Consider the following 15,056-nt stretch of genomic DNA (forward strand, 5'->3'; position numbering starts at 1 on the left):
AACACGCAATGTGATGCTTTGAAAAGTTGTGCGCTGTTATCTTTGGAGGCGATCAAACTGAACTAGTTGCTAGAAATGTTCATTCATCCAGAAAATATTTATTGAGAGTCATACATATTTATTTACAAAAGGCCATGTTTATTTACTTATTTATTGCCAGACACCATTCTTGCATTGCACAAAGCAACGAACCAAACTAAGTCCCTGCTTATCCTAGTGAGGTGGACAAGCAATAAACAGATTATGAGTGTGTATACACACACAGTACATCGTTGTAATGACAGGTGATACCTGCTATTTAGAAAAACAAAACAGTAAAAATAAAGGATGATGTTGGTGGGGAGGAAGCATTTTATACATTGCCTATGGGTTGCTCGGGGAAGGCCTTTCTAAAGAACGGTATTTGAAAAGAGACTTACAAAACATGGAGAGAAAAGGTGACGGAATTGGCTTTCCAGATATCTGGGGACCCAGTCTTGCAGGCAGAAGAAGGAAAAAATGCAAACATTCTGGTAAAGAATCAAGCCTGTCCTGCTGGAAGACCAGCAGGGAGGCTAGTATGAAAGGAGTGAGGAAAGGGGAGAAGAAAGAGGAGACCGTGAGTAGGAATTGATAGGATTAGAGATCCAGCCCTTTCACCTGACATTCTTCCTAAGGGCCAACTGAAAAAATTTCATGCTGAGGGAGAGGATGACTAATTGTCGTAAATAATCATTGTGTTGGCAAATGCCTGGGAAGCTTTGAGACTTTGCTAGGAGTCGTAAACATCACGAGCGGTGATGAACTTGCCTGTATGATCGCTGCTGTATCTCCAACGCCTGGCACATATAGAAGCTCAATATATATTTGAGTGAATGTTTGAAGTTTATCTTTGCTTTTTCAACCTTTCAGAATATTAATGACTAAACTGTCTCGTGCAAACGGTCTAACGTGGTGGGGGGCCGCGGGGAGGAAGTGCAATTGAAACTCAACCTATAGGACATTATGCATACATATCATTAACAGACAAACAACAAACAAAGGATGCCTTGTGCTTTGTTAATGTCTGTTAGCTTCCAGCAGCCTGTCTCCAGGGTGGCACTCACTGTGCCATTTAGACTGGAGAGATTACAACCATTCTGTAATGTCTTAGCAAATACTGGCACCTGACCTGTCCAGATATTTCTGGCAACGTCTGAGATCTTTTTCCATCACATGACCAAAGCCATATTTGCAGAGGGTAGTGGTACTTCTCTACTTTTGCAACACCCTTGGGTATACTCAGTTATCTAAAAGACACCATGAACTCCAAATTACTCCAAAGTAATTGTTCATTTTAGGCTGTTTATAAACAGGCATGTTTCAGAAAGTGTTACAAAATCAACGTGGTCACTTCCAAGAGTGAAAGTGTTAGATGACCAATTTGCCCAAAAGGGGTTTGTAAATAACTAGATGGTAATTTACCAAAAAAAACCCAACCAAACAAACAAACAAAAAAAAAACAACAAATCCATCCCCCGGCCCCTGGCTACATTAGTTTCCTTCATTTTACTGCACCATGCAAAATCCGTTCGTGCCATAAAATCACTTCTCTTACTTTACACCTTGAACGGAAAGTCCCAGTGTATTTCATCACAATTAAACAAATCGCCTAGTACTTAATTAGTGGGAATTCAATTTGCAAAACTCCACGTGAGCCCAGTGAAAAGATGTAATGCCTCAGACAGCCGGTACTGCGACACCTCGTTTGCCCAGAACTCTCCTCTGGCACTTTCTCCCCACCCCCACCCACCACCTGGGGTTTTCCCCGCAAGTCCTGGCCCGGGGCCTGGACCTGCTGAGGTCCCGCCCGGCCGCGGCCCGCTCTAGACCGGAGTTCCCGCCCCAAGGCCCTTCTGAGGCGGGTGTCGACCTTCGCGTAACCCGCGCCCAGGAGGGCCGCTCGGAAACTGCTGTGTCAGAATGGTTTGAGGAGTCCCGAGTCAGAGCCAGCTTTAATTCGGGAGGGATGACTACCCAGGGCTGGCCCGCGGAGACGCAGCCGGGAAGGGTGTGGTGCAGCTGTCGGGAGAGCGCGCCCGGGCCCGGCCGCCTCGGCTCCGCCCTCGGCCCCACGGTCCCCCATCCCGCCGCCCGCCAGCGCCCCGGGGCCAGCGTCTGGAGAACTGTGGACGCGCACGCGCGTAGGACGGCGAGCAGGCCCCGCCCCTCCCCGGCCCCCTCTCACGTGCTGCTCAGCGTGCGCCCAGACATGTGCGGGCACACGTGACAGCGCCGCGTCCGGCCCCGGTTCCCTAACCCCGCGCGGCTGTACTTTGAACCCAGGCGTGGGAGACTGGAGCAGGGAAGGGAGGAAGGAAAACCAGGCGGGGAGGCCGGCCTCGGGGAGAATGATATCATCTGCAGCTTTATCGCTAGGCAACCTAAGAATGCTTTTCCTCTCTCTCCAATCCTAGAGCCCCTTGAAGAGCTCAAGGCTGATGACATTATTCCCCCCTCCTTTCCCTCCAACCCCCCATGCAGCGCTCAAACGGTGATTCAAGGAGCAAGGGTTGGTTTACTAGTTTTAAAATGAGGATCTTAGCAGGCACAGTTCAGAAATCGATCCATTATCGCGCCCACTTGGGTCTGCAGAGGCCTTCGGGGGTGCCTGCAGTCAGGTGCCTCTCTGGTCATACGCGGTTTACACAACCACGATATGGCTAGGCAGATAGATAAGCCTTGTTCAAGATAATATGTATTTGAAAACTAAGTCCTGCTTAAGGTGTCTTAGAATCCTGTGTCTTTATAATACTATAAGGGTTTTTCTGGTTGCTCTGAGTTACAGGTCGCCAGGAGTTGGGTCAGACTGAAGTCCCCCTGTTACAGCTAATTTTCGAATCACAGTGAGGAAGCCGCAAGGCCGCATATGGAAGCAACATGTATTAAACTATCTGGCAGATACTCAATATCTCTGTTGTGCAGCACATAATATTCTGTGTGCACACCCATATGGAAAAGGCTCCAAAATTGAAACCTTAGCTAAAGTTCACAGTGCCCTAAAAATACTCTATATAAAAACTGTAGCACATGGCCCTCTCTCCAGCTTGCTGGATTCTAGAGGTTCTCTCTGACCAGCTTCATAGGTTATTTTGGTCCTAGATCCCTTCTGTTATAGAGAACCTCTAGGGCACAACCAGGACCACACAGGTATAGAGGGGCAGAAAGCCCACCGTTATGTGGAGACTTCCAAACTAGGAAAGGCACATTTCTGGATGTCTCCAAAGTGAGTGGATGATGGAATAGTATGGTTATTTGTAGGAGACTTTGAAAATTATTTCCCTAGAATTTCATCTCTCTCAAAATTATTGCATGCTCTATGCCATAATTTAGCAAGATTATTATGGTGATAATCTTTCCTTCTCCACCAGCAAGTATACTCTGCCTTTGAGGATCGCACATGGGCTAGCTCAACTCATTCCATGAGAAAACCTTAGCCTGTCCCTCCCCATTACTAAAACTATGGCATAAAAGTATAAAGAGCACTAGACTCAGAACCAAAAATCCTGGTTCTCTTACTGAGCTCTATGACCTTGGACTAGTTCTTTGCCTCAGCTTCCTCCCAAAGGTTTTTGAAAATCAGGCCTTAGGATGCCATGTTTCCCTCTAGAACTGCTCAGTCTCTCTCACTCCCTTACTCGAAGGGAAAGAAGTCACCATTAGTTTCTTTTGTAAAACAGATAGATGGAGGAGGTGAGACAAAGAGCTGCTCATGAGGTACTGCTTTCGTTCCCCTACCACATGAGATATGATCATGCTCTGAATACTATCATATCTCACTTCGCAGCAGGAAATATCGTGACTCCCTAGTCCCAGCCCATGGTTCAAATCCTCAGGAGGCGATTTTGGTGAGAGCCAGCATAGCAGTCACGCTCTAAAGAGACTGGCAAGTTAGGAAATCCTTGCTTAGACCTCAAGTCAAATATAGCCAATTAAACTGTACTGCAGCTTATTGTAAATGGCACTTTTTAAAGTTTAATTTCCAGTTGTTCATTGCTAGTGTATAAAAATACAATGTATATTTGTTTATTGATGTTTTCTTCTGTAGCTTTTCTAAATTCTTGTATTTGTTCTAGTAGGATTTTTTTTTGGTAGATTGATTCCCTATGATTTATGTACCTGATAATGTCATCTCTAAATAAAGAAAATTTTACTATAAAAACGTAAATAAAGTGTAGTGCAGCTTAGCACGGGAGCAGGGTCGGCCAGAACCTTCTCTTTGGAGATGGCCTCATGCCCTTATTGTGCTGCCGTTCCTTCTGTAAAACCCAGCTACTTCTCACCTAGGCCTCCTCACTTGGATGTAATTAGTAGCTCCCACCCCCACCACAGCAGTGTATCCATCCCTGGATAACACTTACTGTGTTGCAATGTAATTTATTTTAGTATAGGTCTATCACCCACACTAGACTCTGAGATCTTCAGAGGTTAATCTTTGATTCTCTAGCACTTACCATGGCACCTCACATACAGCAAGCAAAACAAATATCTGAATCCCCACACCATTTATTGAATCCATAAACTCAAGAAGAAAAGGAATATGCTGTAATCGATGAGGAGTCTGAAACCTCTCACCATGGGTGTGTCTAAATTCAGAGGCAGCATCTGGACCTACACACCCATCCTGCCAGTTCCCCAGAATACTTTTGCATTCTGCCGGCTGCCCAAGAAGTCCAATACCCAGAGGCAGGGGAGGTTACATACTAGAAGCAGGAGCCAGAGTCATCCTTAAATCAAAATGCTGAGTCAGTTTCACTAGTGGCCCTCCCTCCCCTATTCTTAGCAACTAGAGAGAGGTGTTCATCTAATCAAATAACTTATTCCTGACATGCAAATTTGTTTATTTTGTGGTTAGTTGTGGGCTAAAACCATTAGCAAGTTGCTTTTATTTTTATGTAATAAAATGATGGCAAAATATATAACGTATTTGAAGGCATTTGCATAAGTAATCTTGAAGGCATTTGCATAAGAAGCATCGCTGAGAATCTGGAAGTTAAAGGAAATAAAAAAGCTGAGAATCTATCTGGAAGTTAAAGGAAATAAAAAAGGTCACAGATTCTACAAATTCACACAACTTACTTGTAGAACAAACCCTCAGGTCCTCTGTCAGAGCCTATTTACTCTAATTTTAGCACATTTCAAATGGGCGTGGTAGTGTTTAAATGGTTTCCCAGCCCACAGTAAGTCAGAGGTAGCAAATTAGATAAGAGATGGAGGAAGCACTCTGAGGCTTCAAGAAGTGACAGCTGACAGGCTAGCTGTGCGTAAAGAGACTGAAAAACCCTATAAAAAGCAGGTAGAACTCAAAAAAAAATTTGGTGCAGGTGCAATTACTCCCAGATGTCATGCATAGTGCAAAAATGATGTTTACAATGATGACCCTGAATTATTGAGAAAGGTTAAGTATGTCCAGGTTAAGACATTTAGAGGATATGTGTAATACATTTTAGTATGCTTTCCACTAAAAATTCAAAAATGAAAAACAGCACTGGCATTTGAACATAGAAGTTTTAGTTTTCTAAACCACTGACTGTCCCTCCTGTCGGACAAACTAGGCATCACTGAATTTAGAATTTTAAAATATCAACATTTAAAAAAGGTGGTTTTATATTTGTTTGGAGTTTTCAATATGGAATCTCTGAACGAGCATAAGAAACCCGATTTTAAGACAAACGTACAACTCCTAGAATAGCATATTTTTAAAGTACATGCTGCGCATGTTTTCTAGTATAAATCCCATCTTAATCACACAAAATATGTGATAATTTCCCACGTCAATCCCTTACTTAAATTCTTCTATGAAAAACTAGAACTTCCATGGGACTTTAGCATGCACTGTAAATCCATCTTGAACTTGTTTAAAATAACAGTGAGAACAATGGGTGGGTCTAAATATATTGAGCTGAGGGTCCAATAGGTTAAGAATTTTTGTTTAATGAAAAATATCAGGTTGCTACCTGAAGTAAAATACCATGATCACAACAGTACAGCCAGCTTTTGGCAATATAATGGTCTTAAGTCATTCATGAGAGCTCTGTTCATTTCTAGCTAATGTAAAAGTCCTTCGTGTGTTTGCCCAGCCATGTCTCTCCAGAGGCTCCACTGGCAATCACTTTCCATGGAAAGGTTAAGAATTGACCTGTGACATAGAAAGGAGTAGGCTGAGCCTCCTTTTACATAACTTTTGAACAAATCTCGGGTGGTGGGCAATAACCAAAGTCATCGCCTGGATGGCCAGAAACAGGGAACTAAATGAAAAATAGTTTCACAATGATAGGAACTAAAACTCCAAATTTTACATAGCTATTAAAGTGTTGTTTCTAGTGCCTTGAAAACGTGCTTAAGGTTAGCTCTTTGGAGGGGAGGGAAGGGCCATTTTTTTTCAATTCAATATAAAGTTTGCTAAGAAATGTGTTATATAAAATTAATCTTTTTAAAGATTATGTAAAATATATGTATGTAAAATTAAATTTTTATGAGTATAATACTATACTCATAAAAACATTGACTCAAGATTCATATTTGCCTGAAGTTGGAAAATCATTTTAGCTGAAATTTCACCACTACAAGTATAGAAGCCTCTTTAGTGAATTATGACTTCAGCCTTTTAATTCATTAAAATAAATCAATGACTAAAATAAAGTTTTTTCAGATTTTCAGATACAATATAGACAATATTATTTTTGCATTTCTGTTCTAACTTTATCTTACCATGTTACCATATGGGCACTTGGACTAAATAACTGACTTGTAAAATCTGGCCCAACTCTGAAGATTTTTTTATCTCATTATACCAAAATTATACACATGCTAAAAACACTGTATTATCCTCTGATTCACTTTTAATCCTTTTTGGTTATGAAACTAATATTACTACAGTAGTGGCATCAAAATATAGCTCAAAATATTTGAAATGCTGTTTTTCCCATTATTCTGATTCAGATAATTTTTCTAAAGTTCAATAAATTAACAATGCTGAAAAATCCTACATAGTTTTCTAGTGTTGATTTCAATTTCCTTTGTTCTATGGTTTGTTACGAAGCTTCATGGGGGCTGCTCAATCAAGTTCAGCTTACTTGGTCCAAGATACTGCAATGGGAAGTAGTTGAGTGACTGAGGGATATAATAGAGCTGGCCACTAGTGCTAGTGCTGACTCTAGGTAGCTCTGTGACCTTGGGAAGATACTTAATATCTCTGGGCTTCCTTTCTTTTTTTCCTATCACGAAATGCAGGGGACTGGATGAGCTGTGGCTCCTTCTGGCTTCATACTGTTATGACTTGCAGTTCAGTTGCCATAAAGTCAGCAGAGGGAGCACTTTTTCTACATCTTATACAATCTGACTCTCATTTAAACATTTTCAAAAATCAAGGGGTTTGTGAAGAACATTCCTGAAACTAAAAGCTGACAATCCTTCACTGTTTGTATCATATCACAGATTTGAATGGAAATTTGAGAAAAGTCTAGAAATTATTTCTGATCCTGGAATTCCATGATAAAGTCCCATGACAGAATTATTTTATAAAAAGAAGCCAAAACACTCTCATATTAAGCACCCCTTTGTGATCATCTATTTATACAAGACCCAGTGAAAGAGGAACACCTGACCATACTAGAGAGGCTATGTGATGTCACAGACGAAAACTGAAAAACTTGTCAATCATTAAAACAATAGAAAATTGGGTCTAACATAAACAAACCACACAAGTTAATTGGTAGGTTTTTCTTTTGCACTTTTCATTAAGATACATTGGGAACGAGCAGGTAGACAAAGCCAGAGCCTGGAGGCTTGCAAGAGATTGGAAATGTGTGACATCAAGCCAATGACAAAAAAAAGCTGTAAATCTGAGAACTGTAGTGATTTGTATCCCTATAGTTATAGATATCTTAAAACTAATTGAGCATCCATTATGTCTTTTTTAATTATTAGACAATATCATATCGTATATTAAAGTTTTTATTCCTTAGTAAGAATTTTTAAATCACAAAATAGTGTGGCAATATTTAGGTAATAGAATTTATGGAGTGCTGAAAATACTAGAATATAAAGGTAATTTCTAGTTTATCGTCACATACTAAACTTTTCTAAACCAGCTGGTTTCTCACAGACAGTATTTATTTTTTTAAAATAATTTAAGACAGCATAAGCTTGTACCAAGCATAAGCATTGTAACAAAAGTGCAACTTTTCAGCAAATCCTCCCCAAAAGATATTTTAACTCAAAATATCATTAGCACATATTTTCTCCCTACAAAAATAGCATGTCAGACATCATTAATTGGATGTATTAACAACTATGTACATAAGAGCCACCTTGTAGGCTAAGAGTTTAACGTTGTTTAAACACAGCGTTTGAGGCAAACAGTAGCAACAGCAGCAGCAAATGCACCAAACTGACGAAAAGACCCAGATATTTTCCTCACTCATAGTCAGACTGTTGTGTCTCACCCCTTACATAACATCCAAGTGAGATTTCTCACAGTGCTACCTTGGCAACAAACTAAAAATATCTAGACAAGGTCTTGGTTTAAGCCTTATTAAAAAAGCTTTCTTTGTGATTATCTGGTATCTGGTTTGGTCTCCAGAAAATACATAGACTTGGAGATAGGAAGGCCTCACAGGACTTCATTCTATATCTTTACAGCATTTGCAATCAAAACTGGCCAGTTAAATGCTTTCGTTCACTTTTGAATTTTAACAGAATATAGGATATATCAGTTTGGACTTGTTTTTTGTTGTTGTTGTTTTTTGTTTTGTTTTGAAGTTCAGTGCACTTTTTTTTACAGTAAGATTACAAAAATTTAGGAACATGATGGATTAATGAGAGTGGGAATAGATGCACTTGAGATGTGTATGTATAGATACCTATCTATGGATAAATAGAAATCTGTACAGATAGATATCTATCTATATATGGACTTAGAAGAAATTAAGATGAGTCCATTAATTCATGGTCAATTTCTCAATAAAGTGTTAGCAAATGTACTAGGAATGATTCTGGCCTTCTCATCCATCTCCTTCCCTGACTTAGTTCTGACGATGGCCCAGCTCCGTGTTTCTTTAACGAGTGCAAGTTACTAAGAGATACCATTTAAACCACTTCAGAATAGGTTGCAACGTGAGAAACTGCATCCTCACTTCTTTGAAAAATATATGCCTTTTAGAAAGCTGAACATTAGAAAATACTGAAGAGTAAATTCAATTCTAAAAGAGCCTCAATCTGTTTGTGGAACGCCTCCTAAAACAGGCAGGGCAGCTTTGAGAACTAGCTCTACATAACAACTACCTGCTGTTCCATGTCAACTCCAAAGACGTCAAAGGTGTTAACATCTTTCCCCTACCCCGGGGTTCACCTAGCTCAGCCACAGAACAGACCCTTCTTACTTCCTCTCGAATTAGGTTCCAATTTTAAGAGATAATGGAACATGGCCTAAAAGGGGGCAAAATTTATTTGGGGGATTAAAAAAAAGAGCCAGTGTCTTTCGCATAGGATCTTTTACAGCTGGTGGGGGGAAGAAAGGGATGTTAGTGTGTGGAGGGTGGGGTGGTGCGGGATGAGCAAAACAGGAACTCCGAATGTACACATAACACCTGTTTTGTTGTTCTTGTTTATGCCTGTCGTGCATCTATTACACTTCCTCCCTTAAAGACCTTAAGGGTATTTTAACTTCTCACTCTGCTTGAACCTCCTTAAGGGTATTTTAACTTCTCACTCTGCTTGAACCTCCGTCCTTCGGGACGCAAGGATTCAGGGAGCTTCCTTTCCTGGCTGCGAGGGATCTTCCTGAGCAGAGCTCTCCGGGTTCCCCGGCTCGCGGGGCCCGGCGAAGGGCAGGTGGGTGCGGCCGTGCGGGTGCTGGGGGTGCGGCGCCCCAAGGGGCGCCACCTCGTGCGGCAGGAGGGTCGCGGCGGCGGCGCCCGCCTTCTCGGGAGGGGGCGACAACACCGAGGACAGGCAGGGGAACGCGGCGGCGGCGGCGGCAGCGGCGGCGGCGGCTGCCGCGGCTGCCGCCGGGGCGGGGATGCCGGGGTATAGCAGCGGGAACGGGGCGGCAGCCGCCGCCGGGTACAGATACTTCTCCAGGCCGCTCTTGTCCAGGAAGGGCTGCACGTAGGCGGCAGCTGCAGAAGGCGAGAGGAAGCAGAAGGGCAGGCAGAAGGGGGCCGCGGCGGCCGCGGGCTGCGGGAAGGGCGCGCCTCCGCCTCCGCCGAACGCCACCAGCGAGCTGAGCAGGGCGGCGTCGGGTCTCAGCAGCGCGGCCGCGGCGGCAGGGTCGGGCCCCAGAAGCGCGGCTGCCGCCGCCGCCGCGCCGCCCCCCGGGCCGCCGCCGCTGCCGCCGCCGCGGGAATCCAGCTTCATCCTCTTGGGCGCCGGCGAGTCCTCCCCGGGAGGCTCCTGCTTGATGGTGACGCGGCTCGCCCCCGCGCCTTTGCCTTTCTCGCGGTCCGGCCGGGCCTCGGCTTCGCCGCCGTAGCCGCTGTCGGTGTCCGTGTCGTTCTCGGCGGCGAGCTCGGCGCTGGGCTGAGTCCGCTGGATGACGGGCACGCAGTAGGCGAGGGGCTCCAGCTTCTGCCCCGCGCGCTCCAGGCAGGGGGCGGCCGCGGACCCGGCGGCCGAGGGAGCGCCGGTGCCTTTGCTCAGAGGGACCTGTTGAGTCAACAGCTGCGGGGTGGGCAAGAACTGGGTGGCCACGGCGTGCAAGTGGTTGATCAGCTGGACACACCGCGGCTCCCTGGGTGTCCAGCTCTCAAACCGGGAGAGGTATTGCAAGACTTCTTTGGCGCATGTTTGAAATCCCGAGTGGAACGCATCCAAGTCGGACTGAATGGGCGATTTCAGAGATCGCTCCCCTAGGATGAGGAAGGGATGGGGGTGGGGGACGGAGGAGTGGAGGCAAGAAGAAACATACCCACGTTAAAACATCTGCTTATCACGTGGGCCCTGCATCGACTAAAGTGATCTCGGTTTTTCCCCAGTATTCAAGTGATATAATCCACCAGTTGACGAGAGAAGCGGGGTGGCGGAGGTGCGGAGCGGGGAGAGGGCGCTCTCCTCCCAGCTGAAAACCAAAGTGGAGCGGGTGCAACCGCCACTTTAAATCCTGATTCCTCCGAGTTCTGCTGAAAGCCTCTAGGATGCTTCGGGAAATGGGCTCGTTCCAATGAAGGGAAAGTATAAGCAATTTAACAAATGAGAGGGAACCCATGAGCCCACGGAAAGAGATGGGGTGCGGGTGAGGGAGTCCTGACACTGCTCCCCTGTGGGCTGCCCCGCTTCATCAGGGTAGGCTGGCCTCCCTGAACTGACTTACCATTCTGTAAAGCAATTATCTTCTGATGCTGTTGCTCGGTTAAGGCGGTTAAAGCTTTTAAGTGTTTCAAAGTTAATTCCAAGACTACAGCTTTCTCCAGATGTCCCAGAGTCTGCAGTGGTGCAAAAAAGAAACGGGCACTTGGTTACTTAAAAACACACATTTGGCTTAATTGGCTGTCCATTCAGCACAGCAATTTAAGCAAACACTTTGAAAGAAGTACTGTTCTTTTACTTCTTGAGCTTTCCACAAGACAGGTTATAAATGATTTCTTGCCTTCAGCTGGGAGCACCTACTCCAGTTTGCGGGAAACTCTGTACGGTATAGCACAAGTTTTAAGTCAGGAACTTATATTTACATTTATTCTTATATTTTCTGGGAGTCGCACCAGACTATTAACACGCCCTTGGAGAGCAGCAAAGAATGAAAATGTGCATCTTACTGTCAATTTCAGATGTTCAGGCAGTAAATCTTTCAGCTGAGCAATGCATTCATTAATTCGGTCTCTTCTTTTCTTTTCTATTAATCTGTGCGGTAATTTGTAGGTATCCTTAATATATGAGAGTCATGGAAAAGAGAAAACAGTAAGCGAAACATTCACTTATTGGATATTACCCTCGTCTGCCCCCCCCGCCCCCCCACCATAAAACATACTATGTGATAAACTACACCCAAGAAACCTCTTTCCTCTGGACTGTTCTGCAATGCAATTTAAATTCAGGTATGATGTTTAATATCCCCCTGAGAGTACCCAGCAAGCCACTTAAAATTCACAGTTGGGGAAGCTCAGGGGCTGGAATATATTTGCGGGCAGAGCTTCACTGTGAAATCAATGGCTCTAATTAACTACCCATGCAGGTTATGAGGAATATCGGGAACTTACACTTACCTTGGTGTCGTCTCGTTTCATGCTCCTTTTGGGTTTACACATATACAAAGAGGAATAGTCCAGTCTGCAAAACAGAAATCAGCATCAGGCACCCATTCGGGGAGGGGCTCTGCCCTCGCCAGCTCCATACCACTTTCTGGAGAAGAAAAAAATCAAACCAAAGCCTAGACAGATATTCGCAAGGGTGCGTGCACCTTACCCTATAAAATCTCTATGTTCCAGTAACTGTCTCTCTTGCAAATGAGGAATTCCTTCGTCCATGTTCAACTGCTGTTCGTTTCCTCTGTTTCGATTTTTGGGGCTCTGTACAATAATCTGTGGGACGGTAGGCTTGGGAGACCTTGGGGGGATCTGTGCGTCTCCAGTCTCTCTCTCGCTCTCCCTCTTCAGTGCAGTGTTGAAAGTGTGAAGCAGTTGGTCCCCCCCCTCCACCGCGCTCGCACACACACACGCACACACACGCACACTCGCGCCGGCCCCACTGCGCTGGTAGTTTGCTCTCACTCCAGGCAGTGTTTGGCCACAGGGCACGCGCGTCGCCGGCCAGACCAGCACCCAGCTCACGTGCGGAACGTACCATCCGCGGTCCAGCCCGGAGGGGGGCGGGGGAGGAGGGGCCGGGCCGGGCGGGGGCGTCGGGAGAAGGCGGCGAGAGAAGGCGAACGGCAGGAGGGGGCGGGGACACCTGATCAGGGCCACCGGAAAGGAAAAACAACTTCGGCCAAGCTATTCATCTTCCCAAAGGCGATGCAGTCGGCAGGAGGAGGGGGGAGTGGGGGTGCAGGGGTGCGGGGCAGCCTGAGCTTCCTTGGCTCCAAAATGCGACTCCCTGGGTTCGTCCGTTGTTACGGTGCAGGAATGTGAACGTGGCTTTTTGCTTTTCCACCGATTGTGCTGTTGGTTTGAACCATAGAAAGGAAGTGAAAAGAGAATTCGCGGTGGGTAAACTTGAGTCCCAAAGGAAATTTTGGAGACTTGTTTGCTCACTGATCAGTGGCCTGGAGGGACTCCTTGGCGCTGGGTGGAGAGGTTGCCTCGAGAAGAAGCAACTTGCAATCCGCTCCTTGAAGGATTTAAGATACATGAAAACGTTGTCACTGGGTCCGAATGTCGCAATCCAAGTGTCTTTCGGTGACACGGCGTCCCTGGGCCAACTAAACTTCCCCGCAGCAGCCGGAATTGCGGTGCCACTAATCACAGCAGCAGATGACGACGTTTGGGGCCGCGTGTGCTCCTGGAGGAACGCGGCGGGGAGCGAGCCGGGGTTGAGTGGGGGCTGGGAAGGGAGAAGGGGGTGGCACGAGAGGGGGTGGCACGAGAGGGGCTACCACAGAAAAGCTATGCAGCATTTATCACCCGCCCGCTCAACTCTGCCGCGTTCTGAGCCTCCGGTGACGCTACGTGCTTTCCCCATCCCCCCGCCCCCCCGCGCGATAAGAGACGCCCGGAGTGTGCAGAGCCCACGTTTACTACCGCTGGCACCTCCAAAGCCTCCCTCCTTAATCCGGTCTCAAACGGGTACCAGCACAGGGCCAGCAACGTGATCCGACCTGCCGCTGCTGCCACATCACTGCTCGGGGAACCCGTGCGCGCGCGCGCTCGCCCTGCAGCCGCGGCGCTCGGCGCCGGGAATCACAGGCCAGCAAGAGCCGGGTTACCTTTCCCCAGAGCCACCCTGGGAGCATGACTCACTGCTAGTGAGAGTTACCGGGAGGTGCCCGGGGATGCGCACTGCCCACGCCGCCCTGCCAGCCCAGGGGAAGGCATGTCCTGAGGGACTCCCAGGGGTGGGATGGAGGCTATATATATATTTCTCTAGATATACATAAAGACATAGAGAAAAAAACCAAGGTTTTTCCTGCACAGAGAGGGATATTTACATTCTCCCCGGGGTGATCTCTGAAACGTTGATTATTGCCGGTGATAAGTGAACCGAGGGGAGAAGAACGCCAAAGGTACATGCACCAGGGCGCAGCAGGGACTGGGGCGCCCGCTACGTGTCCCCCGGCCCGCCCCGCCGGGCACGGGTTCCGGGGACGGATCTGGGTCGCGGGAAGCGGCGGCTGGGAGGAGGTCACGTGTCTGCGGGAGTCGCGTCTCCTCCCCGACTCCAGGAGCAGCCCGGGCCGCGGCGGCCGCTCGCGCTGCTGCAGTCTCCGGAGTCCTGGGCGGAGACGCGCACTGCGTCTGGCTTCGTGACTCGGGCGGCGGCGGCGGCCCAGGATCACCCCGGCGTGAGGAGACGCTCGCGGTCCGTTCAGTTCATCTGTTTAGAGGGCCTTTTAAGGTCTCTCGACTTCCTCAAATAGAGGAACGTATTTTGCACCAAACAGGCAATTTAATCACGATGGTTCTTAATTTAAAAAGTATTTTTAAAATGCTGACTTTATTTTAAATCTCGGTCCGACCTCTCTCCTATTTCCAAAAGGTTAGGTAATTAAGACCCTTCGATGGGGAGGGCACGTTGGAGCCCTAAAAGCGACCTATTCCTGCAGTACTGTATCATTTTTACCTCTTTTTAATTGACTAAAAATGGGAATGCCGTTAGGTGAATAATTTAAAAATTAAAACACCAGGTCCCCTTCTAGATTTCTGAATGTTTGGAGTAGAAAGGGGATGTAAATATTTGCTCCAGAGCTAAATTTCACTTGAAAAGGATGACTGGTTAGGGAAAATGAAATAAAGACAAGATCATTGCATTTTGGCCTCGTCGGGCTAAAAACACAAGGCAGACATCTGACCAGGGCAAACCTTAGAAGCTAAGTCTGGGGCAGAGATTAAATGCAAGTTGAAATAGGAGGAACACGATCAGGAGCCTTGAGGCTCAAAGGTGGGTTA

The 15,056-nt window shown here is 46.3% G+C and overlaps 2 protein-coding genes across 2 annotated transcripts in view, besides 2 other annotated features; one reads left to right on the top strand and one right to left on the bottom strand.

The window, feature by feature from the left end:
- Positions 1,860-2,209: a silencer, noted in NCBI's record as "silent region_4300". NCBI's record gives its function as "represses an Ori minimal core promoter by ATAC-STARR-seq in GM12878 lymphoblastoid cells {active_cell/tissue: GM12878}" and the evidence as "EXISTENCE:reporter gene assay evidence [ECO:0000049][PMID:35858748]".
- On the bottom strand, positions 7,730-12,737 carry BHLHE41 (basic helix-loop-helix family member e41). Its single transcript, NM_030762.3, has 5 exons — positions 12,418-12,737; positions 12,219-12,282; positions 11,772-11,879; positions 11,330-11,441; positions 7,730-10,868 (listed from the first exon to the last, which is right to left on the bottom strand). The coding sequence occupies exons 1-5, from the start codon at positions 12,477-12,479 to the stop codon at positions 9,766-9,768; spliced, it is 1,449 nt and encodes a 482-aa protein (NP_110389.1). The 5' UTR covers positions 12,480-12,737; the 3' UTR covers positions 7,730-9,765.
- SSPN (sarcospan) overlaps positions 9,691-15,056 on the top strand; it is a 112,787-nt gene continuing 107,421 nt past the window's right edge. The window contains exon 1 of the mRNA XM_011520853.4: positions 9,691-9,852. The gene's annotated coding sequence lies outside the window, so the exon portion shown is untranslated. The remainder of the gene's footprint in view (positions 9,853-15,056) is intronic.
- Positions 14,149-14,318: a silencer, noted in NCBI's record as "silent region_4301". NCBI's record gives its function as "represses an Ori minimal core promoter by ATAC-STARR-seq in GM12878 lymphoblastoid cells {active_cell/tissue: GM12878}" and the evidence as "EXISTENCE:reporter gene assay evidence [ECO:0000049][PMID:35858748]".

Source organism: Homo sapiens, chromosome 12 (assembly GCF_000001405.40).
Source record: "Homo sapiens chromosome 12, GRCh38.p14 Primary Assembly".
NCBI classification, from domain to species: domain Eukaryota; kingdom Metazoa; phylum Chordata; class Mammalia; order Primates; family Hominidae; genus Homo; species Homo sapiens.

What these genes read in the sequence shown, in the direction of transcription:
- BHLHE41 (NM_030762.3), bottom strand. Translation starts at nt 12,479, where the DNA reads ATGGACGAAGGAATTCCTCATTTGCAAGAGAGACAGTTACTGGAACAT. An exon ending in GAACATAGAGATTTTATAGG is followed by an intron (nt 12,283 to 12,417) that starts GTAAGGTGCACG and finishes TCTGTTTTGCAG; the next exon opens with ACTGGACTATTCCTCTTTGT. An exon ending in GATAATTGCTTTACAGAATG is followed by an intron (nt 10,869 to 11,329) that starts GTAAGTCAGTTC and finishes TCCTCATCCTAG; the next exon opens with GGGAGCGATCTCTGAAATCG.